Genomic DNA, 27348 nt, shown 5'->3' on the forward strand with positions numbered 1-27348 from the left:
GCATCTTAACATACATTCATGGGCCCTAGAAGGGCACTGGATTAGAAACCAGCGAATTGGGAGTCCAGCTCTGACTCTGCATGGCCTACCGCCATCCACCAGGAGCTGGGCAGCTTCCAAGGGCAGTGGCCAGTCTGTTTGGCCGTGTCCCCCACCCAGCATAGTGCCAGGCCTATAAAAGCCTTGGTGGGGCCGGGCAGGGTGGCTCACACCTGTAATCCCAGTACTTTGTGAGGCCGAGGCGGGCAGATCACCCAAGGTCGAGAGTTTGAGACCAGCCTGGCTGGCCAACATGGCAAAACCCCATCTCTACTAAAATACAAAAATTAGCTGGGTGTGGTGGCACATGCCTGTAATCCCAGCTGCTAGGGAGGCTGGGGTAGGAGAATTGCTTGAACCCGGGAGGTGGAGGTTGCATGAGCTGAGATCACACCACTGCACTCCAGCCTGGGCGACAGAGCAAGACTCTGTCTAAGAAAAAAAATGCTTGGTGGTGTTTGTTAAGTGATTAAAATCTAAAGACAAAGCTGGCAGGAACCAACTAGAAAACCAGTCACCTGAGAAAGAATAGGTACATGGGCAGCTGTGGGCCAAGAGCCCAAGGCTCCACTGGAGCTCATAGAACTTTGTGAACCTGTAGGTGGATCTCTTTCATCAGTTTTGGAAAATTCTCAGCCATTATCTCTCCAGATACTAGGTCTGCCCCGATCTCTGGCCTGTTTTATGGGACTCTAGTTACACAATGTTACGCTATTTTCTCATGTCCTGCATGTCTCTTTTACTCTGTTCTGTTCTTTCCACTCTTCTTGTTTTCTGCATGCTTCAGTTTGGATATTTTCTATTGACCTATCTTCAAGTTTATTAATTCTGTATTTAGCTGTGTGCATTCTGCTATTAAACCCATCTAATGAGTCCTCAGTTTTATATATTATGTTTTTCAGGTCTAGAATGCTATTTGCTTTTTTCTTTTTCTTTTTCTTTCTTTTTTTTGTTTTTTTTTTTTTTTGAGACGGAGTTTCCCTCTTGTTGCCCAGGCTGGAGTGCAATGGCGTGATCTCGGCTCACTGCAACCTCTGCCTCCCGGGTTCAAGCAATTCTCCTGCCTCAGCCTCCCGAGTAGCTAAGATTACAGGCATGCACCACTGCACCCAGCTAATTTTGTACTTTTAGTAGAGACAGGGTTTCTCCATGTTGGTCAGGCTGTCTCGAACTCCCAACCTCAGGTGATCCGCCCGCCTCAGCCTCCCAAAGTGCTGGGATTACAGGCGCCCGGCTGCTTTTTTCATAAATTGCAAATTCTTGATTTAAATTCTCGATTTTCATCTTTTGTGCATAATTTCTTCTATTTTTAATGTATTCATAATCAGTACTTCAACATCCCTCTTGACTAACTTCAGAATATGAGGCATCTCTGGGTCTGCCTCTATTGTCCATTTTTCCTTCTGGTTACTTTTTCTTCTTCTTTGAAGGTCACATTTTTTTAAAATTGTGTGATGACTGTTTGGTGTAAGAGATCCATAAAGGCTATAGATGATGCTATTTTCCACCAGAGAGTTTTCCTCTTTCCCCAGCAATTGGGCTGGATCATGGCTGGGGTGGACCTTACGTAGGTTCAGCCCACCTCTGGTTTATATCTGGTCTTTGAACATGGCCCTCCTGGATGTAAAGTTTCTCTATTTCCTCAATTCTATGAACGTTAGCTCATCTTGTCCTTTGTTGATTCCACAGCTTTTCAATGTCTATAGAGTATAATTTTGGTAACTTTTCCATTTTTTTCCTAATTGTTACAGCAGGAACCCAGGCTGCTGTGACCTACTGCATTCTATACAGAGGTGAAAGTTGGACAAGCCATTTTGTTGTTGTTCATTGCTGTTTTCCCAGTACCTGGGAGAATATTTAGCACACAGTGGATGCTCAAAAATATTATTGGATTGAGTCCAAATATTGGACTTTGAATAGAAAACTCAGATTTAAGTTTTGATTCTAGCTCTGGGGACCATGGAACTGTTATTTCACATCTCTGAGGCTCAGTTTCACCATCTGTAATATGGTGGTAATAATATCTTTCTGCCTATAGAGTTGTGAAAAGAATAAAAAGAGAGCTTATATATAATGTACTTAGCACATCGGAGATATCAAGCAAATTGAATACCTAAGATGTTACTTATTCTACTTTTCCTACTCTGCCATGCATTTAAGTTATTTGAGTGTAATGATGACTGTGGTGGTGAAGACAAAGGGTGTGAGACATAATTAAAAGATAGAATTGGAGATGTTGAGATAAGGGAGAAGCAGAAGCTGAGTATAAAGTCCAACTTTCTGCACCGTGGCCTCGGAGCTGGCATTCCCTGGGCCAGTTATGGGTGGGTTTCACACTTTTCTATTGCCTAGGGTTCCTTGGCCTAATGACAGAGTTCATCAACACTGTACAAATGCACGTGCAATGGAGTGGTGTTTCCATTTGTGTGGTCACAGTGGGGAGTGGGGAGAGAAATTCTAAGAGATAAACCCCGGCATCTTTTTTTAAGATGACTTGAAACCCATCTAGTATGCAGACTGTGGGGGCCAAGTGCTATTAGCCACTATCAGGAATTATTCATCAAGTCTAGTCATGTGAGAGGGGCTTGGAAGCCCTTGCAGTTTCTAATCACCACTGGTGTGTGAAATAGATTTTAATTAGCATACAGGTTGTAGGAGTCTTTGATCAGTCCTGCCATTTGGATCATATAACTGACCCAACAGTTTGAGATTCTCTAAGCCCTAGTAATAAATAGCAGGGAGAAGAAGAGGCTTAGAATGTAATAATCATGGCTCAGCCTCGGGTTTGGGATGATAAAGCTTCTTGCTGAATATATGCAGGCCTTCTTGATCCTGGGCATTAAACAACTTTTCTCTCTCTCTTCTCTCTCTCTCTCTCTCTCTCTCTCTCTCCTCTCTCTCTCTATCTCACTGTATGTGTGTAAAATAAGTTTGGGGAATTATTTTCTAAATATCAACATTTAGGGGGCTGGGGGTTATTTGTTAAATATCAACATTTCCAAAAAAATACAGGTGTCTTCAAATCAACCATTTTTGATAGCCAGAGATCACAGTGTGCTGGCAGTATGATGGGTTTTCTTAGCAAACTGAGGTAATCACACTAACCACTTTCATGGCATTTCCCAGGGGACCAGCGTTTCCGGAGGCATCAGGCGGAAGGCAGAGATCTAGGATCTGATTGAAAAAAACACCTGCAATCAAATGCATTCTCAAACCATTTATCTAGGTACAGGTGTGAGCATAGATTTAGGTGTAGGCATAGGTATAGGTATATGTATAGATATAGATGTACCTAAATCTATAATCCTTGGAGATTCTTTGTCATCTCTGAATCTCTGCCTTCTCATCTCTAAAGTGGGTTTAATAACAGTCTCTCCCTGATGGAGTTACTGTAAGGATTAAATGAGATACCATAATCTAAAAATCCTGGCAGAGTATCTTTCCTCTTTCATGTTTTTCATTTTTGTTGTTGTTGTTGTTAGATTGTTTGTTTTTGAGATGGAGTCTTGCTATGTTGCCCAGGCTGGAGTGAAGTGGCGCGATCTCAGCTCACTGCAACCTCCCGTGTTCAAGCCATTCTCCTGCCTCAGCCTCCCAAGTAACTGGTAGCCGGGATTACAGGCATCTGCCATCACACCTGGCTAATTTTTGTATTTTTAGTGGAGACAGGGTATCACCATGTTGGCCAGGCTGACCTCAAGTGATACACCCACCTCGGCCTCCCAAAGGGCTAGGATTATAGGTAGGCACCACCACACCAGACTAATTTTTGTATTTTTAGTAGAGACAGGGTTTCACCATGTTGGCCAGGCTGGTCTTGCACTCCTGACCTCAAGTGATCTGCCCGCCTCGGCCTCCCAAAGTGCCAGGATTACAGGCATGAGCCACCGCACCCAGGCTTCATTTCTTTTTTCTAACTTTTCTTGGTTATCTTTCCAGCTTCCTCTTCCCGATGAACTTTAGAATCATTTTGTCAACAGATTTTCTTTTTAATTTATGCTCACCTACACACATTCAAGGCATTGAAAAATAGCCGCAATTTCAGCCTGTCCTCAGCCCTGCAAAACATGGGCGGCGTTTGGCAGGAGATGCTTCCGCTTTCACCTTCTGAGAGCCAGTGGTCACCAGCCTCACCTCTCTGCTGGCACCTGGCAAAGGGAAAATAACTTGCTGAGGACTCTGGGAGGATTTGCTCATCTCTCCATCAGCCTCACCCTGGCAGTGGGATTTCTGCTTCTCCTTTGAAAGGCAGTCTGGTGAGACGCTGATAGTGATGCTGATCTGATGCTGGTGCTGATTCTAACGCCAATGCCAATTTTATCAGTTATATAATAACAGCAACATGAATAGTATTTTTTGAGTATTTGTTCTGGGTCAGAAACTGTGCCAATCATTTTACATATTTTATCTCCTCTAATGTAGTCAATATGGTACAGGAGTTGGAAGCTTTTTCTGTAAAGCATAAAAGCATAAATATTTTCAGCTTTGCTGGCCATACGTTCTCTATTGCAACTATTCAACATTCTTTTTCTTTTCTTTTTTTCTTTGTTTTTTTGGAGACAGAGTCTCACTCTCTCACCCAGGCTGGAGTGCAGTGGCGTGATCTCAGCTTACTGCAGCCTCTGCCTCCCAGGTTCAAGCAACTCTCCTGCCTCAGCCACCCAAGTAGCTGGGATTACAGGCATGTGCCACCACGTCTGACTAATTTTTGTATTTTTAGTAGAGATGGGGTTTTGCTATGTTGTCTAGGCTGGTCTCAAACTCCTGAGCTCAAGTGCTATTCCCACCTTGGCCTCCCAAAGTGCTGTGATTACAGGCGTGAGCCACTGTGCCCAGCCTCAACTTTGCTTGTATAGTGCAAAAACAGCCATAGCCAATACGTAAACAAATGGGCATGGCTGTGTTCAAATAAACATTTACAAAAACACTCAGTGTGTTGAATTTGGCCCACAGACCATAGATTGCCAACCCTAGCAGAAAGGAATGGCTCAGAGGGGAGACTCTTCAGCCAGACTGCTTGGATTCGAAACCAAGCTCTGGCACTTTTTGCCTCTGGAGCCTTAGGTGAATTATTTAGCCTCTTTGTGGTGAAGTCCCTCAACATTCTTCCTTTCCCTTTTTGTATAATAGGTTTTTGCCAGGCACAGGGCAGTCCAGAATAGAGACTCCATTCCTCAGCTCCCTTGTAGCTATGTGAGGCCATGTGCCTACGTCCCACCCAGTGGGATCTGAGCCAAAATGTCATGTTAGTTTCTGGGAGGTCTTCCTCAAGAGACAGCCCCTGTCTCATTTTTTGGTCTTTGCTTTGTTTTATAATCCCTTCCTCTATCGTGCTGTTCTCATTGGTGCTGCCAGCATGGCCCATGGGCTTTAGTCAAGGCACTGTTGATGGGTGCCCAGCTGCATTTCAGACTTGTTATGGACTGGGAACACCTAGGTATGTACTGCTCATTCCTCACTATACCCCTTAGATGGGAATGCTATTTTATTTATCCTTTTACTCTCTCTCCATTGTGTACTAGCAGTGGTACATGAGGGGAGACATAATTGTCTCTTTCATTTTCATATTTTTAGATTGAGAGGAACAGCACTTGAGAAGTTGTACCTGAAGAGCCTCATCCACACCTGCACTTGATCTCTATGATGAGGTCCTGGACCTTAAGCCTGAACCTGATGCCATGGTGGACTGAAAGTCAGGATGTCTTAGGAGGCCACGAGTCAATTTTGCATGTGAAAAGAATGTACATAGTGGCTAGAGGCTGGATGATGCTAGCTTGCCTCCAAAGATAACCACTATTAATTATTTTACCTGTATGCACATGCTACTTTCCCATCGAGAAGTGAAGTCTCTTCTTCTAACTCCTTGAATCCAATTTGTGCTTTGACCAATAGATACAAGAGATGATATCCAAGGCTAGGTCATAAGAAGCTTTATCGCTGCCAGCTGAGTCTCCTGAAAAGTTTGCTCTTGGTATATACCCTTTGGGAATCCAATCACCACGCTGTGAGACAGCCCCAAGCCCACACAAAGGCCATGTGTGGGACTTTTGGTTCCTATAGCTCCAGCTGAGCTTCCAGCTGACAGCCAGTGTCAACTGACAGCATTGTGTCTGCACCAACTTGGACAGCAGGCCCAGTTGAGCCTTCAGGTGACTGCACCTAGATCGCCATATGACTGAAACCTTGTGAGAGGGCCCATGTGAGAACTTACTCCCTAGCTGAGCCACATCAACCCACAGAACCATGGGTGATAATTATAAATTGTTTTAAGCGACTCCGTTTTGGGGTGGTTTGATGTGTTAGTAGCAGTAAATCCATACTTGTCAGTAGCAACCTCAATTCTCGCCTCCTCAGAAGAAAGAATTCAGTCGAGGGGCATAAGGCAGAGTGAGAGACTGAGGCAAGTTTTAGAGCAGGAGTGAAAGTTTATTTAAAAGTTTTAGAGCAGACCAGGCACTGGGCCAGGTGGCTCACAACTGAAATCCTAGGGGAGGCCGAGGTGGGCGGATCACTTGAGGTCAGGAGTTCCAGACCAGCCTGGCCAACCATGGCCAGCATGGTGAAACCCCGTCTCTATTAAAAATACAAAAATTAGCTGGGCATGGTGGTAGGCACCTATAATCCCCGCTACTCAGGAGGCTGAGGCAGGAGAATCACTTGAACCCAGGAGGCGGAGGCTGCAGTGAGCAGAGATTGCACCACTGCCCTCCAGCCTGGGCGACAGAGGGAGACTCCATCTCAATCAATCAATAAAATCAAAATAATAAAAAATGAAAGTTTCAGAGCAGGAATGAAAGACAGTAAAATACACTTGAAAGAGGGCCAAGTGGGTGACTTGATTCAAGTGCATGGTTTGACTCTTGACTTGGGGTTTTATCTGTTGGCATGCTTGTGAGGTCTACGTCTCTTCTCCCCTGATTCTTCCCTGAGGTGGGCTGTCTGCATGCACAGTGGTCTGCCAGCACCTGGGACAGGAACATGCGCAGTGTGTTTAACTGGAGTTGTGCGCATGCTCACTTAAGGCGTTCTTCCCTTACCAGCTGAAAGTTTCTAGACGAAGGGCATATACCAGTTAAACTCCGCCATTTTGCCTCTCAGTGTTCAAGCTTGAGCCCACGCATCCAACTCCTGAGATCTTACTGGGAAGCTGCTGATCATCAGTTTCAGGTGTTTCTATCTTTTGGGAGACTGCCCTTCCCTGATGCTAGCTGTAACCAATTATTATTTTAGAGAGACAGTTAATGACCACCTGACCATCACCTGACGGTCAGCTGACATTCCTGGTCGGGAGGAGCCCTCTCCTGCCCTGCTTATGTCTGCCTGACTACCTACTGTAATGGACGCAGCCAGCTGGAACATCGGCTTTGCTCGGTATCATGTAGTATTAGATTTCCCGGGCTCCTTTGCCATCTGGGTTCTTGGTAGTTTGGGCTAATGGGAAGCACTAGTGGGAGACTCAAAGGTGGGAGGAAGGAAGAAACCTTCCTTCTTTCCTTTTCTGCTTCTTTCTCTCTCTCTGCTTTTGTTGGCATCTCCTGCAATGGCTGTATCTCTTCCTTGAATCTATGTCTCCTCAGAGAGACCCTCCCTCTGTGGTTCCATCCCCCAGGGGGCAGCTCTCATTGTATTCTAGCTCCTACCAGGCTGCCCCAGCTTCTAGCTCCTGGCAAATGTCTGTTACCCTTCCAGCCTCAGGGGTGGCAGCAGCTCACTGTCATTGCTACACCGTCCCATTGGGCTTCTCATCATTTTCCTCACCCGTGTAACCGACTTCTAGGATTTAAATTCTTTCTACTTGAAACACCTAAAGTGGCCTCTGTTTTCCTAATTTGACCCTGGAGGATACAGCGTGTAAGAGGATAACATAGTCTAGTCCAGCAGGCCAAGGAAGGTTTCCCTCCAGAAGGGGTGTTTGAGTCAAGGTCTCAGAAATGACTAGGCTTTCCGGGCATAGGAGATAAAGAAGTGTAATGGCCCGAGGGAAAGGCAGATTGACATATTACAAGTACTGGGGCAGGCCGGGCACGGTGGCTCACTCCTGTAATCCCAGCACTTTGGGAGGCCGAGGTGGACGGATGAAGAGGTCAGGAGATGGAGTCCATCCTGGCTAACACGGTGAAACCCCGTCTCTACTAAAAATACAAAAACAAAATTAGCCGGGCGTGGTGGCGGGCCCCTGTAGTCCCAGCTACTCAGGATGCTGAGGCAGGAGAATGGCGTGAACCTGGGAGGCGGAGCTTGCAGTGAGCCGAGATTGCACCACTGCACTCCAGCCTGGGCGACAGAGCGAGACTCCGTCTCAAAAAAAAAAAAAAGGACTGGGGCAAAGTGGGCAATGTTGCTGTGCCACAAAGAAACCGAGAGGGGGACTGTCATGAGATAAGGTTGAAGTTTGCAGGGCCAAAGCAGGGGGCTGGCAATCCTTAGTGCCAGTTAGAATCACCTGGAGATTAAATATATATAAACATATAGTTTGTATATATTTATATATAATATATATTTAATATGTTTATACTGATATAAGTATATATCAGTATAAATATATATTTAATATATCAGTATATAGAAACAAATATTTAAATATATAGATATATTTTATATTTTTATAGATATATATTATATATAATATAGAAAAATCAATAAAAATATATACTGATAAAATATATCAGTATACATGTATATATACACCAGTATATATAAATATATATTAGTATATTATATATATACTGATGCTCAGACCTCATCCCAGATTAACTGAATCAGAATCCCTTGGGATTGGGCCAATATGATTCCTATATGCAGTCAGGGTTGAGAACCGCTGGGCCTTGACCATGCAGGGCCTTGTCAGCCATGATCTTTATCCTGATCAATGGGAAGATCCCAAAAGGTGGTGGGTTCTCTGGCTGTAGGGTGGGGAAGTGATTGGAGGGGTCAGGAATTGAGGCAGAAAATCCTGTAGGCAGCTATTTTAGCAGATCAACATGCTACTGGCTTGCTGAGCATGGGAAGGGACAAAAACTGGTTCTGTACTTGCTGGTGAGATTCTCCAGACTGACCCCACTCAGTTCCTCACATCTGCCATCTTGCTCTGGATTTTCCTACTCCCTGTTGGTTCCCTTCAGCTGGGCTCTGTCCTCGTGTTCATCTGCCCTGGAAAGTTTCCTGCTAATGAACCCTCCCCAGTACCCATCCCTCTTTCTCCTGGGCAGATGGATGCAGCCATTCCACATCCCTGCAGAGGCTATTCTGGCAGAACCTAATATCCTAAACTCCTTAAGTACCCTGAATTTTAAAATTGTGATTGTATTTGGCAGTGTTAATCAAAAATTGGAAGTACTGGAATTAGAACCTTTGGCCAGAGACTCTCCGAGTTGAAAGCCCTCCCTTAGAAATAGCCTCTTCCAACCCCTGAATTTCATTATCCAAGAAGATCCATGAGCTCTGGAGAGTTCAGGACCCAGGTCTCCTAAGGACTTCTGCTTCCCTGGCTTTCCTTCACATCTTTCTGTCCTAAGGATTTAAGACCATGAATTTGCAAATGCTCTGCCTGAAGTGTGTACTGAAGCTCTGGAGACCTCACCCGGATTCCCAGGGCCATAATTATCATAATAATGTACAAACGAGAATCTTTCTGTAAATTTAAACCACTGCATTTTCACTTCTTGCTTTGAATTTGGTTTTCTTGCAGCTGCTCCCTCCAGGGGAGCCAGAAGGCTTATTGTCCCAAGGCAGGAGAGGCTGTGTGAGACCTGGTTTTGAAAGCTTTGAGAAGAGAAGAAGTGCTGGGATTCCTTTATCTCCTCCATTAGCATATCAAGGACAAAGCCTAGAGGCTCTTAGGGATCCCCATGGTCTGCTTGGGGAAGACCAGGCCACCATTGAGAGTGGAGTCAGGGAGGCTCTGGGAGAGCAGCCAGCCCCATGGGAACCTAGAGAGTCATGGGAGAGAAAGGAGGAGGTACTAGAGGTTGGAAGGCCAATGAGGCAGAAGCTTGTTTTCTGATTTTTCTTCCTGGGCCCAAGTCTGGAAGATAGGGTGTTGGATCCATGAGGATATTCATGGCAAGGAGGAGGCTGTTGCCTCTGGCCCTGGAGCCCACCTTCAGAAAGGTGCCAGGAGGGTCAGCTGAGGAACCTTAAGTTTTCGCTTTCTCCTGAGTGGTACAGAGGCTGAATGAACTGCCCAAGGGCCTGGCCTGGGCAAGGGAAGGTGGCACTCAGGCCAACGGGCTGGCTGGAGGTGACAGCAATGGCAATCCAAGAGGGATCCTGCACCTCTAACAAGCCCCAAGATCAGACTGAGAGTTACCCTGGCCCCCAGGGGCTCCAGGGGCAGAGGTGACTGTGGGGACCCATGCATGCCAGGGGCACATCCAGGTGTTACTGGTGGAAGGTGTCCAGGTTCTTGGCGTCTTGAACAAATAATTGGACAAAACGCACAAAGTGAGGAAAGCAAAAGCACAGATTTATTGAAAATGATAGTACACTCCACAGTGTGGGAGCAGGCCGGAGCATAGGGGCTCATGAGCCCTGGTTACAGAATTTTCTGGGGTTTCAATACTCTCTAGACGTTTTCCACTGGTTACTTGGTATATGTTCTATGTATATGAAGACAATGAAGATAAGTTACAAAGTCATTTACTCAGAATGTGCCCAGAATATGTAAATGGAGAGGATGTTATTTGGTGTGTGCGGTCTATGTAAATGCAGAGGACGAATATGAAGTTACAAAGTGTAAATGGAGCGGATGTCACTTGGCGTGTGTGGTCTATGTAAATGGAGAGGATGTCACTGTGTGTGCGGTTTATGTAAATGGAGAGGATGAATGTGAAGTTACAAAGTGTAAACGGTGTAAATGGAGAGGATGAAGTGAGGTTACAAAGCCATTTATATTCCATTTGATTTTGTTCTAGGAAGTCAGCATGGATCAGCCTTACGTTCATGGCCTCCAGGCCCTATTCTCCTGCCTCACAGGGACCGGCCAGGATCTCTATCCTTACAGCACGTTGGAATGTATATGCTCCTCTCCCCACATCGCCTTAGGGAGCAGGCAGGTGTCAGGGGCAGCACAAGGACGGCCAACAGGACAGGTGCATAAGTAAGACTGATACAATTTGAGGGCTCAGCTCTGAGAATACTCTAAACAGGATCCAAATAACATTGTTGCCTCCTAACCAGCAGGTGGGAGCTCAAGAGAAAGACTAGACTTGTTCCACATTAAATAAGTAATAGTATTTTTTCCCTTGAACATCTTGATCATAATATCAATTAAATGTGTGGCCCTGATTCAATAGCTACCATTTATTGAGCATCTATTTTGTGCCAGACTTGCTGCTGGTATTTGATAGTGCAGTGCCTGACAAGTAGACACACTGGCTTAAATGTCATTGTTACTGGTATTATTGTTACAATGATGTTTTAATCCTCCCAATGTAATTAAGCCTTTATTATAAAGATCATAAGATGTTCACTTTACTTATTTCCTTGTCCTTTTCTTCCTCCGTGCATGCTTGCTTGCACGAGGGAAGTCACTAGTAATTGATTAACTTCCTACCCTAACCCCCAGGGCTGCCTGCAAGATTGATGAACTGTTTTTCTTTCAAAGAACAATGATCCTTAGGTCATGCAGACCTCCTTGATAGCATCTAGGAGTTTGTTTGGGCCGAGGAACTCAAACAGTTTTGAGTATTGGGGGAATCCATCTCCTGCATACCTGCTTTGCTCATAAAAGCCCCCAGTTATGTTAAAAGGCAGATTGGATTTGAGAGGCTGCTTCTCCTGCCTTCTTGCTTTAGCCGAGTCAAATAAACCTTCCTCTGCTTCTAAGTGCTGATGTGTCGGTGTTAGGTTTGCTGTATATCAGGTACATGAACCCAAAATTTGGGGTTTGATAACACTAACAGCTCTGCACAGTAAATATTGTCATCCAGTCTTACTAATGGGGAAAACATGTGCACAGGACTTGCCCAAGGTCACACATTTAATCAGTGGCAAAGTCAGAGTTAAAAATATTTATGTACTTTTTTTTGTTTTTATAATTCAAGGATGTATCACTATTTTATGTACCACGAAGAAAGAAAAACAGCTAACTATTAAACTATAATACAGTATTTCCTTCGCATTTAGAATTTTTGTTGTAAACTCATTATAAAGAGCTCTTTTAAACTCAGTTAGACATAGGCTTTGCTTATTTATTGTGCTTTTGCATATATAGAAAAGAAAATATGAGTGAAATAAATTGGTTAATTATTTTAAAAATATCTTCACCTTCAAACCCTTCTTCTTTTTTTAAATATTGTTTTTAATCATATGATTATCTCAATAGAGAAACCCTACTTCTTTTTTTTTTTTTTTTTTTTTTTTTGAGAAGGAGTCTTGCTCTGTCGCCCAGGCTGGATTGCAGTGGCGCGATCTCGGCTCACTGCAAGCTCCGCCTCCCGGGTTCACACTATTCTCCTGCCTCAGCCTCCCGAGTAGCTGGGACTACAGGCGCCCGCCACCATGCCCAGCTAATTTTTTGTATTTTTAGTAGAGACGGGGTTTCACTGTGTTAGCCAGGATGGTCTTGATCTCCTGACCCAGTGATCCGCCCGCCTCGGCCTTCCGAAGTGCTGGGATTACAGGCTTGAGCCACCGCGCCCAGCCGAGAAATCCTACTTCTTTTAAATAACTTTCCAACTCAGAGTTACAGATATCCTCTGTGTGATCAAGGGTGTTGGCAATGCAATATTAAAAAAAAAAAAACTTTATATTTTGGAACAATTTCAAATTTAGAGAAAAATTGCCAGAATAGTACAAAAATTTCCTTTATACCCTTCAGCAGATTCCCACATTTTTTATCTGATTACATCACCTTATCATTATCTGTGTGTGTGTATGTATGCATGTATGTGTCCATGTACGTTATTATTTTCTGAATCAGTTCAGGTAAGCGGCAGACATGACGTCCCTTTATTCCTAAATACTTCAGCATGATTTCAAAAAAAAGGACATTTTCTGGCCAGGCACAGTGGCTCATGCCTGTAATCCCAGCACTTTGGAAGGCTGAGGTGGGCAAATCACCTGAGGTCAGGAGTTCAAGACCAGCCTGGCCAACATGGCAAAACCCGTCTCTACTAAAAATATAAAAATATTAGCCAGGTGTGGTGGTGGGCGCCTGTAATCCCAGCTACTCGGGAAGCTGAGGCATGAGAATCGCTTAAACCTGGGAGGCAGAGGTTGCAGTGAGCCGAGATCACGCCACTGCTCTCCAGCCTTGGGGAGAGAGTGAGACTCTGTCTCCAAAAAAAAGGACATTTTCTAATCTAACCATAGAACAATGATTAAAACCAAGAAATTAACATTGATACAATACTATTATATAACCTACAGATTTTATTCAGATTTCACCATTTTATCAATAATGTCTATTACAATACATAAATAATATAAATATATTCGTTAAATATAATATTTATATGTTAATTATTATACAATAAATAAATATGCGTGTATATTTTTTTCTGGTCCAGAATTCAATCCAGGATCATACATTACATTTAGTTGTTGTGTCTGTTCTTTCAATCTGGAACAGCTCCTCAGACTTCTTTTATCTTTCACAATCTTGATATTTTTTTCAAGAGTACAGATCAGTCATTTTGTATGAAGTCTTTCAGTTCAGATTTGTCTGGTATTTATGAGTAGATTCAGGTTTTGCATTTTGCGGGGCACAGTTACCACAAAGGTACATATATGGCCTTCTCAGCTTAGTATGTCAAGAGACACATGATTTCAATTTGTCCCATTTAGAGGAGGCTAATTTTGATCACTTGGCTAAGGTGGTATCTGCCAGATTTCACTGCTGTCACGTAACAGTTTTTCCTTTTGTAGTGTATTAGTCTGTTCTCATGCTGCTACTAAAGACATACCCGAGACTGGGTAAATTATAAAGGAAAGATATTTAATTGACTCACAGTTCAGCATGGCTGGGGAGGCCTCAGGAAACTTACAATCATGGCAGAAGGAGAAGCAAACACGTCCTTCTTCACATGTCGTCGTCATCAAGGAGAAGTGCTGAGCCAAAGGGGGAAAAGCCCTTGAGAAAACCATCAAGTCTTGTGAGAACTCACTCACTATCATGAGAACAGCAGCATGGGGGTAACAGCCCCACCTGATTCATTTACCTCCCACTGGGTCCCTTCCATTTATCAACTTTGGTGTCCCCACAGCTCCAGGGTGGGGAAAGAGGAAATAATACTTTCCCTCTTTTACAGAAGACGGGTTGAAGATCCGAGAGGCTGAGTCACTTCCACAAAGTAACACAGCTGGTAAGTTCCAAGGCTGGGCTTCTTGCTCCAAGACTGGTGCTAGTTCTGGAGGAACCAGGACGCTCCTGGATTTATCCTCTGGAGTTTATGGAGCAGACCGTGCACTGCCCTACTCAAAGTATCTTGGGTGTAAATGAGAAGTAGACTACACATGAGAGGGAAATTTTGGGCTGAGCTGGACTTTATAATAAGAGAAAGTGATTGGAAAGCTGTGGGATTTGCTGAGAGACCTTTGGGAAAGGAACAAGGACATTCAAAAGAGTGTTTGGGGAAAATAAAGCCATTTCTGGTTTGTACCAGCCCCCTTTGGTCTTATGCAGCACCCTGCCTGGGAGCCCACACCTTGCTCGACCTGTGAGGGGCACTCCACCAATGTTTGTTCAATGACGCCGGGAATGGATCAGGTGTCAAACCCTGTTAGGCTATGTGTGGGTGGATTTGACTTGGGGTTCAGTCCTGGGGATGCTATTACAGAACCATAATTGGTTTCTCAGAGGTGATTTAGTCCCTTGTTAGCAGACTAGAACACTTGAGGACTTCAATCTACTGACATTTAGATTGCCTTGGGAGAACAGCCAGCAATTCTTACACCCACAGATTTTAAATGCCTGCATTCAGCATCCCTGCAGCAGGCTCCAGGTGGAATTCTAATGGGACCAGCCTCCAGTCCCTGGACCTTAGCCGTGGAAGGAGAGAAGAGGACATCTGCACCTCCTCTCAGAGAAAGCCTGATGCCTACTAAAGGACTTGGGTGGTGGACGCAGTGACCCTCAGTCTGGAGCTTGTTCACTGAACATTGGAGACTATCATTTGCGCAGATGGTCTTGGGCCTCTATGAGCAGCAGGCTGCACCCCACAGTGACCTCCTCATTCTACTCTGAGGCATCTTCATGAAAGCAGATGTCCATTGAAAAGCACCCAAGTGCAGTCTCAGCTGATGAACTTCAGAGGCGATTGAGACAAAGGCTCTCGGTCCCCTCTGCCCTTGGATGGTGCCTCTGGTATGCACTTGGCCTCTGTGTCTTTATTTAGACTGGTCACTTCACAACCCATCATGTCACCCCACCCCTAACCGTGCCCACTCTGGGTCCTCCCCTCAACTGCCTGACTTCCCACTTTGAGCTCAGCAAAGGCAATAGATGTTTTGTCTGCTTCGATACCCTAAATGCATGGCGTGGAAGCTGGCACACAGTGGGCCCTTGAAATTTGGGAGTGAATATGTATATATATTATATTCCAACCTCAACTTTCCTCACTGCTCCTCATAGTAGGAATGGATTGTAAAACTTCCCAGAATGTTCAAGAGGAGAAAGGAGAGAAAACAGCCTGGAATTTGAGCTAAGGGGCCCACAGCCCAGCCACCAAGCCATCTGTAAAATGGGGTGGGAATATGACATGAGCCACAGGGGTGCTATGAGGGTTAATGAGGTCACCGTGCGATGTACCATGCCAACATGAATAACCAGACCTCTTGATATCATCATTTTTGCATTGCCTGGAAAGTGCCTGATACACACTACATACTCAACAAGTGTGATGGGGTGTCCAGAGGAAACTGGTCTATAGAATAATTTTTATACCAGGCTATACTTTCCTTTCAAAGTTCAAAGCTGTGTTTGCATTCTGGAATGGAGTCCTTGCTCCAGGAGGGAAGCCTTGTGTATTAGGGTTCTCTAGAGAGACAGAACATATATATATATATATATAACATATATGTTATATAACATATATATGTATATAATATATATAATATGTATATAACATATATATGTATATATGTACACACACGTGTGTGTATGCATATACGTATATGTACACACACGTGTGTGTATGCATATACGTATATGTACACACACGTGTGTGTATATATAACATGTATAACATGTATAACATGTATATAACATATTATATATAAAAATACTTTATATATATATGGGAATTTATTAAGTATTAACTTACATGATCACAAGGTCCTACAATAGGCCGTCTGCAAGCTGAGGAGCAAGGAGAACCAGCCTGAGTCCCAAAACGGAAGAACTTGGAGTCCGATATTCCAGGGCAGGAAGCATCCAGCAAGGGAGAAAGATTCAGGATGAGAGGCTAGGCTAGTCTCTGCTTTTCACATTTTTCTGCCTGCTTTATATCTGCCAGCAGCTGATTACATTGTGCCCACCAGGTTAAGGGTGGATCTGCCCTCCCCAGCCCACTGACTCAAATGTTAGTCTTTTTTGGCAAGACTCTCACAGACACACCCAGGATTAATACTTTGTATCCTTCAGTCCAATCAAGTGGACACTCAGTATTGACCATCACACTCTGTATTAGTTCGTTTTTCATGCTGCTGATAAAGACATACCTGAAACTGGGAACAAAAAGAAGTTTAAATGGACTTACAGTTGCATGTGGCTGGAGAGGCCTCAGAATCATGGCAGGAGGTCAAAGGCACTTCTTACATGGGAGCAGCAAGAGAAAAATGAGGAGGAAGCAAAAGCAGAGACCACTGAGAAACCGTCAGATCTCATGAGACATGTTCACTATCATGAGAACAACAAGGGGAAGACCAGCCCCCGTGATTCAATTACCTCCCACTGGGTCCCTCCCACAACATATGGGAATTCTGGGAGATATAATTCAAGTTGAGATTTGGGGAGGGGGGACACAGAGACAACCATATCATCCTGTCCCTGGCCCATCCAAATCTCATCTCCTCACGTTCAAAACCAATCATACCTTCCCAAAAGTCCCCTAAAGTCTTAACTCATTTCAGCATTAACCCAAAAGCCCACAGTCCAAAGTCTCATATGAGACAAAGCAAGTTCCTTCTGCCCGTGAGCCTACAAAATCAAAAGCAAGCTAGTTACTTCCTAGATACAATGGGGGGTACAGGTATTGGGTAAATACACCCATTCCAAATGGGAGCAATTGGCCAAAACAAAGGGGTTACAGGGCCCAGGCAAGTTTGAAATTCAGCAGGGCAGCCTAATTTTAAAACTCCAAAATCATCTCCTTTGACTCCAGGTCTCATATATAGGTCATGCTGATGCAAGAGGTCGGTTCCCATGGTCTTGAGCAACTCCACCCCTGTGGCTTTGCAGGGTATAGCCTCAGTACTGGCTGCTTTCACTAGCTGGTGTTGAGTGTCTGCGGCTTTTCCAGGTGCACGGTGCAAGCTGTTGGTGGATCTACCATTCTGGGGTCTGGAGGACAGTGGCCTTCTTCTCACAGCTCCACTGTGCAGTGCCCCAGTGGGGACCCTGTGTGGGGGCTCCGACCCCACATTTCCCTTCCGCACTGCCCTAGCAGAAGTTATCCATGAGGGCCCCTCCCCTGCAGCAAACTTTTGCCTGGGCATCCAGGTGTTTCCATACATCTTCTGAAACCTACATGGAGGTTCCCAAACCTCAATTCTTGACTTCTGTGCACCAGCAAGCTCAATGCCACGTGGAACCTTCCAAGGCTTGGGGCTTCCACCCTCTGAAGCCACAGCCTGAGCTCTACATTGGCCCCTCTCAGCCACAGTTGGAGTGGCTGCAACACAGGGCACCAAGTCCCTAAGCTGCAAACAGCACGGGGACCCTGGGCCCAGCCCATGAAACCACTTTTTCCTCCTGGGCCTCCAGGCCTGTGATGGTAGGGGCTGCTGTAAAGACCTCTGACATGCCCTGGAGACATTTTCCCCATTGTCTTGGGGATTAACATTCAGCTCCGTATTACTTATGCAACTTTCTGCAGCTGGCTTGAATTTCTTCTTAGAAAATGGGTTTTTCTTTTCTATCACATTGTCAGGCTGCAAATTTTCCAAACTCTTATGCTCTGCTTCCCGTATAAAACTGAATGCCTTTAACAGCACCCAAGTCACCTCTTGAATGCTTTGCTGCTTAGAAGTGTCTTCCGCCAGATACCCTTAATCATCTCTCTCAAGTTCAAAGTTCCACAAATCTCTAGGGCAGGAGCAAAATGCCACCAGTCTGTTTGCTAAAACATAACAAGAGTCACCTTTGCTCCAGTTCCCAAAAAGTTCCTCACCTCCATCTGAGACCACCTGAGCCTGGACCTTATTGTTCATATCACTATCAGCATTTTTGTCTAAGCAATTCACGAAGTCTCTAGGAAGTTTCAAATTTTCCCACATTTTCCTGTCCTATTCTGAGCCCTCCAAACGATTCCAACCTCTGCCTGTTACCCAGTTCCAAAATCGCTTCCACATTTTCAGGTATCTTTTCAGCAATGCCCCACTCTACTGGTACCAATTTACTGTATTAGTTCATTTTCACGCTGCTGATAGAGACATACTCAAGACTGGGAAGAAAAAGAGGTTTAATTGGACTTACAGTTTCCACATGGCTGGGGAGGCCTCAGAATCATGGTGGGAGGCTGAAAAAAAAATGAGGAAGAAGCAAAAGCAGAAACCCCTGATAAACCCATCAGATCTCGTGAGACTTATTCACTATCATGAGAATAACATAGGAAAGACCAGCCCCCATGCTTCAATTACCTCCCCCTGGGTCCCTCCCACAATACATAGGAATTCTGGGAGATAGGATTCAAGTTGAGATTTGTGTGGGGACACAGCCAAACCATATCAGCCCACACAATGAGCCTCTTGGCCTGGATCTAAAATGAAGCCTCCCAAATAGCTGGGAGTACAGACATGCGCCACCATGCCCACCTAATTTTTGTATTTTTAACAGAGACAAGGTTTCACCATGTTGGCCAGGCTGGTCTTAAACTCCTGACCTCAGGCGATCCACCCACTTTGGCCTCCCAAAGTGCTGAGATTATGGGTTTGAGCCACCAAACCCAGCAAGGTCACTTTACATTTGCAAGAATCTCCTCCACATCAGCTTCACCAAACAGGAAGACCCTTTGGTAGGGGTTACGCCTGAGGCTCTGCAGCCAGGCTACTGGGTTGAAACCTGGCCTCTCTGGGGCTACCCTGACTCTGCCCACCTGCCTGGATGGACATTTGCAGAGCCCCTCCCAGCTGAACAATCCCTCACCCCAGATTAATAAGGAAATTAAATTTTCATTCTTCCCACTTCTCTCCTCTGTGCTAAATCACTTCTTTGACTTTCTTCTGTCTCTCTCACTGAAAGATAGAACCCCCTCAAGAGTAAGAGCTGTGTGTCTCATCTCTGCACACCCAACATATAGTGCAATCGCTGATGCCCAGGAGGTGCTCAGACACCTTGCTGAAAGGTGAGCAACCCATGGCACGAAAGACATCAATGGGAGGGATCCCCATCATGTCCTCATTATGTGGGTGAGGCGCTTATCATCACATTTCAACATCTCTGAGACTGGAATGCATCTTACAGTCACTGGGTGGTTGCAGTCATTCCTTCTTGAACACATCAATGCTTGCAGAGTGTGGGTGAACCATAGAAAATAGCGAAGCACTCTTCTAAGAAATTACTATATGTGGTAGGCAGAATAATGTCACCCCCAGCCTGCAAAGTTGTCCACCTCCTAATATCTGGAACCTGTGAATATGTTACTTTCCATGGCAGAAGGAGCTTTGCAGATGTGATTAAACTAAGAATCTTGAGAGGGAAAGATGATCCTGGATTATCTGGGTGGGCGCAGCATAATCACCAAAGTCCACATAAGAGGGAGATAGGAGGGTCAGAGTGAGAGGAGGCTGTGCAGTGATGGAATCACTGGTCAGAGGGATGAGGGATGTGGTCACAGGCTGAGGAAGGAGGACCAACCCTAGAACCAGAAAAGACAAGGAGATGGGTTCTTTCCTAGAGCCCCGGAAGGAACACAGCCCTGCAGAAACTTTGATTATAACTCAGTGAGACTTGTTTTGGGACTCTCACATCCAGAACTGTAAGATAATACGTTTTTCCTGTTTTAGGGCAATAAACGTATGCTAATTTTTTATAGCCACAACAGGAAACTAATTACACTGCATCTCACCATTTGACAACCATCGTAGTTACAATGGATGCTGGTAAGACTTACCAATGGCAGATAAAAATGAGGGGGTGAAAGTTTGATGAGAAACGAGATATTTACATACTCTCCAAATATCTGCCTGTAAGATGGTTATTAACTACATGATATGGTTTGGCTGTGTCCCCATCCAAATCTCATCTTGAATTGTAGTTTCCATAATCCCCACGTGTTGTGGAAGGAACATGTACATGTCACATGTCAGTTGTTATCATTCCCACCCCCACCCCCCTTTTTTTTTTTTTAAAAAAAAAGACAAGGTCTTGCTCTGTCGCCCAGGCTGGAGTGCAGTGGCGGGATTACAGCTCACTGCAGCCTGGAACTCCTGGCCTGCCCTCGTTTTGATGCAGGCTCTGCTCCCTCCTCCCTGGGGGCTGTCCCCTCAGTTGACAAGCACCCCGGCCTTTATGTTCTTCCCACTCCCCACGTGGCTGGGCAGCACAGCGGTTATGATCAGCACAGATTGTGGAGTCAGGCTGCCGCGACTCACATCCCAGCTGTGCCACTAACAGCCCTGTGAACCTGTGTGAATCACTTAATTTTTCCATGCCACTGTCTTCTCATCTGTAAAGTGGGAATAAGAGTTGTGCCTCTCTCATGGGATTGTTGTGAGAGCTCGATGAGTTTTCTTTTCTTTCTTTTTTTTTTTTTTTTTTGAGATGGAGTCTCACTCTGTCTTCCAGGCTGGAGTGCAGTGGCGCGATCTCCACTCACTTCAACCTCCGCCTTCCCGGGTTCAAGCAATTCTCCTGCCTCAGCCTCCCGAGTAGCTGGGACTACAGGCACCCGCCACCATGCCCAGCTAATTTTTTGTATTTTTAGTAGAGACAGGGTTTCACTGTGTTAGCCAGGATGGTCTCGATCTCCTGACCTCGTGATCCGCCCGCCCCGGCCTCCCAAAGTGCTAGGATTAGAGGCGTGAGTCACTGCGCCTGGCCCTTGATGAGCTTTTATTTATGAAGTGCCTGACATGGTGCCAAGGATAAAGAACTGTGAAGATTCTGCCTCTTACCGTTAGCAAAACTCGACTTCTATCAACAAGGATTTGATGAGCACCTAATAGCCGCCAGGCACTGTGTAAGGCATGAGGATCCCGTATGAACATGACAAAGTCCCTGGCCTGCCAGAACTAATGGTCTAGGGGAAGGTGCAGAGAAAAAAAGTGGGCAATTATGATATATAGTCCTGTGGGTGCTGCTCAGGTCAGGTGATATGGAAACATGGAGAAAGGGCTCCTAACCCGGATTGACGGATCACAGAAGGCTGCCTGGAGGAGATGGCAGGAGTGGAAGCCATAAAGGATAGGCAAGAGATGGCCAGGAGACTGGAGGCAAGAGGTGGTGAGTGGAGGGAAGAGCCTCTGAAAGGTGGAATGAGCGAGCAGAGTGTAAAGGCTACGGGTGGTGAGGGCGGGAGTGGGGAGGGACGGAGCCAGGGTGTGAGAGAAGGGAATGAAGGAGCTCCCTGGCTGCAGTGCTGAACACCCGTGATAGGGGGTGGGATGACCTCGCAGGGTGCCCTGGAGGTCCAGGCCTGGGTGCAGTGAGTGGCTGAGGCACGGAGGGCAGGTCAAGGAGAAAAAGGTATAGCTGGGGAGGGGATGAGGATGAAGACGGGGGAAGGATGAGGGGAGACCAGGATGAGGAGGGGGTGTGAGGATGAGAGGGGACAGGGTGGGGTGAGGGTGAGATTTCTGGCTGAGCCTCAGGGCACCTGGCGCCCTTCCTGGGGGCTGGAGGAGGATGGGGAGGGGCGGTGAGCTCCAGGTGGTGAGCTCCGTCTGGGACACACCTGCAGGGCCTGCAGGGCACTGAACTGGAACTGCGTGGCGCGGAGGTGGGCATCAGAAAGCCCGGGAAGGGGGAATCTGGCTGGCATCATCACACAAAGGACGACCGAGTCACCGAGTGAGGAGAGCTGTGGGTCATAACAGGAGAAGCAGCCGGCGGCAGAACACAGAGGGCCCTGAACATTCAGGAGTCAGGCAAGGAGCACAAGGTCCTCGCTTCCCGGAGTTTCTGGACGTGAACAGAAAGCAACACTTTGATGATCATGTGGGCAGGAGAGGGATGAACTTTGGTGGGGTGAGGGGCAGGGAAACCGGACTTTTAGGCTCTCTGAGCATCCCACCAAGTGGCTGTCGGTTCAGAAGACCTGTCCCCAGGGCGACTAATGTCTGCACAAGAATTGACTCAGGTACAGTCAGACCCTCGAGGCCTCCCTGGCTGTAGTGCTGAGCACCCATGATGGGGGTGGGATGATCTGAATTATGGGAGGGTGCTGGTAACAAACCCTTGGAAGCAGCAGGGGCATCGGCCTCCTGCTCCCCATTTACCCTGGGCTCTCCCCAGTCAGCCGCATGCCAGAAGCAGATGTTATCTGTTTGAATTTGTCCCACAGCTGAATTCACCTTCTGAATTTTTCCCAGGTGTTGCTGCTCTCAGTACGGTAGAAAAGGTTTCTAACAGTGGTGCGTTGGAGCTGCCCCAACCAGCACGTGAGAGCTGATGGTTACATGATGAGGTATTTTGCAAGCTGATTATTAAAATGGTCATTTTGAAAAATGTATTACATAAATTTACAATTAAATAGGTTATTTTAAAAGCAAAGTTATATAGGCCAGGCATAGTGGCTCACACCTGTAATCCCAGCACTTTGGGAGGCCAAGGCAGGAGGATTGCTTGAGCCTGGGAAGCTGAGGCTGTAGTGAGCTGTGGTGGTACCACTGCACTCCAAAGTAATATATATTCAAAATACCTCACTTCCTAGTTATTGTATTTTATGTCAGTATTACCTGTGCTTTTGGATTTATTTACATCGATTGTATCTATATGGTGGAAATACTATACTGTACAATATTGTGTTGCTGCACACCTCTCTTTCCAACTGTGTGTGCGGTGGTTGTCATGTTGGTTGGTAGCCTGAAATCCACTATAGTGGGAGCACTTACACCACAGCAATTGGTAAACATGACAAATGTAGGCTCTTCCCTCAGAAGAGCCAGTTAAACCTTTCCCAGCATCACTGTGTATGAGGATTTGTTGGAATCCTATCTCCCTAGGCTTTCTAGAAACATGTGAACAAGGAAACATTTATTGGTATTGATTAGATGTACCTAATTAATTGCTGGTAGTAATTAGATAGTATCTAATTGCTCCTTATAAATATGAAAATAATAAAAAGGTTTAAAGAAATATTAGCATATAGGCAGCACCTTGTGCCTTTTCAAGACTTTAAACATTATGGTTGCTTTCTTAAACTCTTTCTGGGTTTCTCTGTTAAGTAAACAAAACTGATCTAAACCTGGGGTTCTTGTCCCATGGGCCCTCAGGGCAATCGGGTGAAGCCTATAGTCTCTTTTCAGAATCAAGGTTTTACCTGCATAATGCAAAATGTATTGAATTAAAAAAGAAACCAACTATATCAAAATAAAGTTATCAAAATACAAAAATATGTAACATAGTTGCTACTATATGCTTCTTTTCCTTCCTTCCCTCCCTCCCTCCCTTCCTTCCTTCCTTCTCTCCTTCCTCTTTCTTGACGGGGTCTCACTCTGTCATCCAAGCTGGAGTGCAGTGGCACAATCATGACTCATTGCAGCCTTGACCTCCTGAACTTAAGTGATCCTTCCACCTCAGCCTCTCAAGTAGCTGAGACTACAGGCATGTACCACCATACGCAGCTAATATTTTTAAAAAATTTTTTGTAGAGACAAGGTCTTGCTATGTTTCCCAGGCTAATCTCAAACTCCTGGCCTCAAGCCATCCTCCCACCTTAGCCTCCCAAAGAGCTGAGGTTGCAGGTATAAGCCACCATGTCTGGCCCCTTTGTGCTTCTTACACACTAAACAACCAGATCTAATCTAATAACTAGCATAATTTCAAACTAGAGATCAATGTACATGATATTTTGGGATATCTGTAACAGCTGTAACATAGCAGGGAAACATCTGTGATTTCTATTTTTCAGGGCCAGGGGCTACGAAATAATACTCTGCTTTCCTCTCCTGCCTTCAGACCCAGCAGAGAAACAGGAAATGAGAGGCAGACGAAAGGAGATCAAGCTGTCAGCTTGATTCCTGACACAGGCATCATCTTCATCCCTATACTGAACTTCCCAGCACTCACGCTCTGCAGACCTCCTTCTTCAGGGGACACTTCTCAAAAGAAGACATTTATGCGGCCAAAAAACATCATCACTGGTCATTAGAGAAATGCAAATCAAAACCACAATGAGATACCATCTCATGCCAGTTAGAATGGTGATCATTAAAAAGTCAGGAAACAACAGATGCTGGAGAGGATGTGGGGAAATAGGAACACTTTTACACTGTTGTATAAATTAGTTCAATTATTGTGGAAGACAGTGTGTTGATTCCTCAGGGATCTAGAACCAGAAATACCATTTGACCCAGTAATCCCATTACTGGGTATATACCCAAAGGATTGTAAATCATTCTACTATAAAGACACATGCACACGTATGTTTATTGCAGCACTATTCACAGTGGCAAAGACTTGGAACTGAGCCTAATGAGAAATGCCCATCAATGATAGACTGGATAAAGAAAATGTGGCACATATACACTATGGAATACTATGCAGCCATAAAAAAGGATGAGTTCTTGTCCTTTGCAGGGACATGGATGAAGCTGGAAACCATCAGTTTCAGCAAACTAACACAGGAACAGAAAACCAAACACCACATGTTCTCACTCAGAAGTGGGAGCTGAACAATGAAAACACATGGACACAGGGAGGGGAACATCATACACCGGGGCCTGTCGGGGGGTGAGGGGCTAGGGGAGGGATAGCATTAGGAGAAATACCTAATGTAGATGACAGGTTGATGGGTGCAGCAAACCACCATGGCATGTGTATACCTGTGTAACAAACCTGCATGTTCTGCACATGTATCCCAGAACTTAAAGTATAATAATAATAATAAAAGAAGTGCAAAATGGCCAGGTGCAGTGGCTCATGCCTTCAATCTCAGCATTTTGGGAGGCCGAGGCAAGGCAGGAGGGTCACTTAAGCTTAGGGTTTCAAGAGCAGCATGGGCAATATAGTAAGGCCTCATCTCTACTAAAAACAAAAATAACTAGCCAGGCATGGTGGCATGTGCCTGTAGTCCTAGCTACTAGGGAGGCTGAGGCAAGAGGATAGCTTGAGCCCAGGAGTTCAAGGCTGCAGTGAGCTATGATTATGCCACTGCACTCCAGCCTGGGTGACAGAGTGGGAGACCTTCTCTCAATAAGAAAATTAAAAAGAAATAAAAAAGCTTGAGGATATCATGAAGTTTATTAAAGTGTGTTGACGTCACAGAGGTTCAGAGGTAATGCCATAGATGCTCCCTTAAAGCCTGATAACAATGAGGATACACACAGGAGGAGGCCTCAGGTCCCCTCAGCACAGGGACTGTGCACTTGCTGACCCTCATAGGTGTCTACCTTTTCTCTCCAAAGCCAAAAAGACTCATGGAGTCACTTTTTGCCAGCTCTGCTGGAGGGCCAAAGAGAGGATGCTCCTCTGTAAGGCTTCCTGCTCCATCCTGAAAACTTTGATTGGTAAAGAGTTGATCCCAGGTCTGAGCCAAAATCTGCCTTTGAGTAAGTTCTCTCCCTGTCCTTGGGTCCTGCCTCTCCCTTCTGGAACCACATGGAACTGATCTAATCTCTGTCCACATGAAGTTCTCTTAAATCAGCCAAGTCAGCTTGTCCGTCCTAACCAAGCTGTTTTTTGCCTTGCACTTCGGTAGAGTTGAGTTCATGTCAGGCCTTTAAAATATCCTTTTCAAGCATATATTTCAGTAAACATCGATTACTTAATATGCAAGGAGTACAATGGCGGAAATACCACATTCAGGCTCTGGGATTCAACACTTCTGCAAATACTTGGAAGACCTACCCTGGGCCAGGCTGTGTGCCAGGTGAGGGGGATACAAGAAGGAACAGCAGACTTTCAGGTTGACCCTGTCTCGAAGCACCTTGAGGCATGATGAGAGAGGAACACCTGCCTTTGTTGGCTGGGTTTATAGCAGGGCCCTATTTAACTTAACTTCCCCGTTAGACATATACACTGAAAACTGAGAACCCATCTCTTTGCTGTATGCACAGAGCTGGTGATTAAGCCTCCTTCTCTTTTTGCAGAGCATGTGTATAGTTTCAAGCTCTGTGGAAGAAGAAAGAAGGAAGACTCCATGCCAAGTCTTAGATATCCAACTCAATTCAGCGAAGATGTATTGAGGTCTACTAAGCAACAGGCTACGACTCCATCCTTAGGGGCCCCGCTGTTCATTCATTCACAAACATTAGGTTAGGACCCCATCAGGAGAAAAATACAGCAAGTCTAATCCAGGCCAAATGGAAGAGTTGCCAGAAGAGACATTTAAATACATTCTGGTGCAGGTGTGAGAACAGGAGCTGGCCCCTGAAGCGGGAAGAATAAAAAACACTCCTGGAAGAAGTGGCACTGGCTAAGGGCCTGGGAGCACTTTTACAGGCAGATGTTGGGGGTGAAGAAGGCCCTGCAAAAAATAGAATCACCTATATCTCCAATATTGTTTATTTGTACAGCAAAATTCCCCTACCTTTGAACATCGACATTGGAAATTGATTTGGAATTTGCTTATTCTGCAAACATCTTTTGAGGAGGTGCAGTGTGCCCTGTGCTGGGCTGGCTGCTGGGAATGGGGTGACACGTGCCCACCAGTTTATAAGTTCCAGTCTCATGGATGGAACATGTGAAACAGGATTCTCAGGCAGGGTGAGAAATGCAGTAGCCCCTGGCAAGTGTGCCCATGCCGTCGTCTCACTGCACATGACTACGACGGCCCTTCCTGCTCCATCAGGGGCCAAGCGCTGGGCTCATGCTCTGCATCCTGCTCCACAGACACTTCCAAGGGCCTCTTTCACGTGCACTCCTGCAGCTCATGAATAATCACCTTCTCCATCTCAGCCGGTCAATCCCATCAGGTTAGAAACCTACTCTGGTATTACAAAAAAAAAAAAAAGAAAAACAAAGAAATATTCCTGTGACACTTCCTC

The 27348-nt window shown here is 45.4% G+C and overlaps 2 long non-coding RNA genes across 4 annotated transcripts, besides 2 other annotated features; both read left to right on the forward strand.

Moving 5' to 3' along the window:
- Positions 1–7085: 7085 nt before the first annotated feature.
- LINC02318 (long intergenic non-protein coding RNA 2318) lies at positions 7086–15480 on the forward strand. 2 transcript variants are annotated; one of them, NR_146450.1, is made up of 3 exons: positions 7086–7208; positions 14292–14345; positions 14943–15480. It is a non-coding gene; the product is annotated as a long intergenic non-protein coding RNA 2318 (long non-coding RNA). The 2 variants fall into 2 exon arrangements; NR_146449.1 differs by lacking the exons at positions 14292–14345; positions 14943–15480 and adding an exon at positions 10953–12205 and having other exon boundaries at positions 7086–7206.
- Positions 9343–10265: an enhancer, noted in NCBI's record as "OCT4-NANOG-H3K27ac-H3K4me1 hESC enhancer chr14:96042156-96043078 (GRCh37/hg19 assembly coordinates)". NCBI's record gives its function as "activates a minimal SCP1, AML or CMV promoter by ChIP-STARR-seq in primed H9 embryonic stem cells {active_cell/tissue: H9 hESC(primed)}" and the evidence as "EXISTENCE:reporter gene assay evidence [ECO:0000049][PMID:30033119]".
- Positions 10266–11187: an enhancer, noted in NCBI's record as "NANOG-H3K27ac-H3K4me1 hESC enhancer chr14:96043079-96044000 (GRCh37/hg19 assembly coordinates)". NCBI's record gives its function as "activates a minimal SCP1, AML or CMV promoter by ChIP-STARR-seq in naive and primed H9 embryonic stem cells {active_cell/tissue: H9 hESC(naive and primed)}" and the evidence as "EXISTENCE:reporter gene assay evidence [ECO:0000049][PMID:30033119]".
- Positions 15481–22105: 6625 nt separating the features above from the next.
- On the forward strand, positions 22106–24514 carry LOC105370643 (uncharacterized). 2 transcript variants are annotated; one of them, XR_001750938.1, is made up of 3 exons: positions 22106–22499; positions 22732–22826; positions 24273–24514. It is a non-coding gene; the product is annotated as an uncharacterized LOC105370643 (long non-coding RNA). The 2 variants fall into 2 exon arrangements; XR_001750939.1 differs by having other exon boundaries at positions 24320–24514.
- Positions 24515–27348: the final 2834 nt, after the last annotated feature.

This window comes from Homo sapiens, chromosome 14 (assembly GCF_000001405.40).
Source record: "Homo sapiens chromosome 14, GRCh38.p14 Primary Assembly".
NCBI lineage: Eukaryota > Metazoa > Chordata > Mammalia > Primates > Hominidae > Homo > Homo sapiens.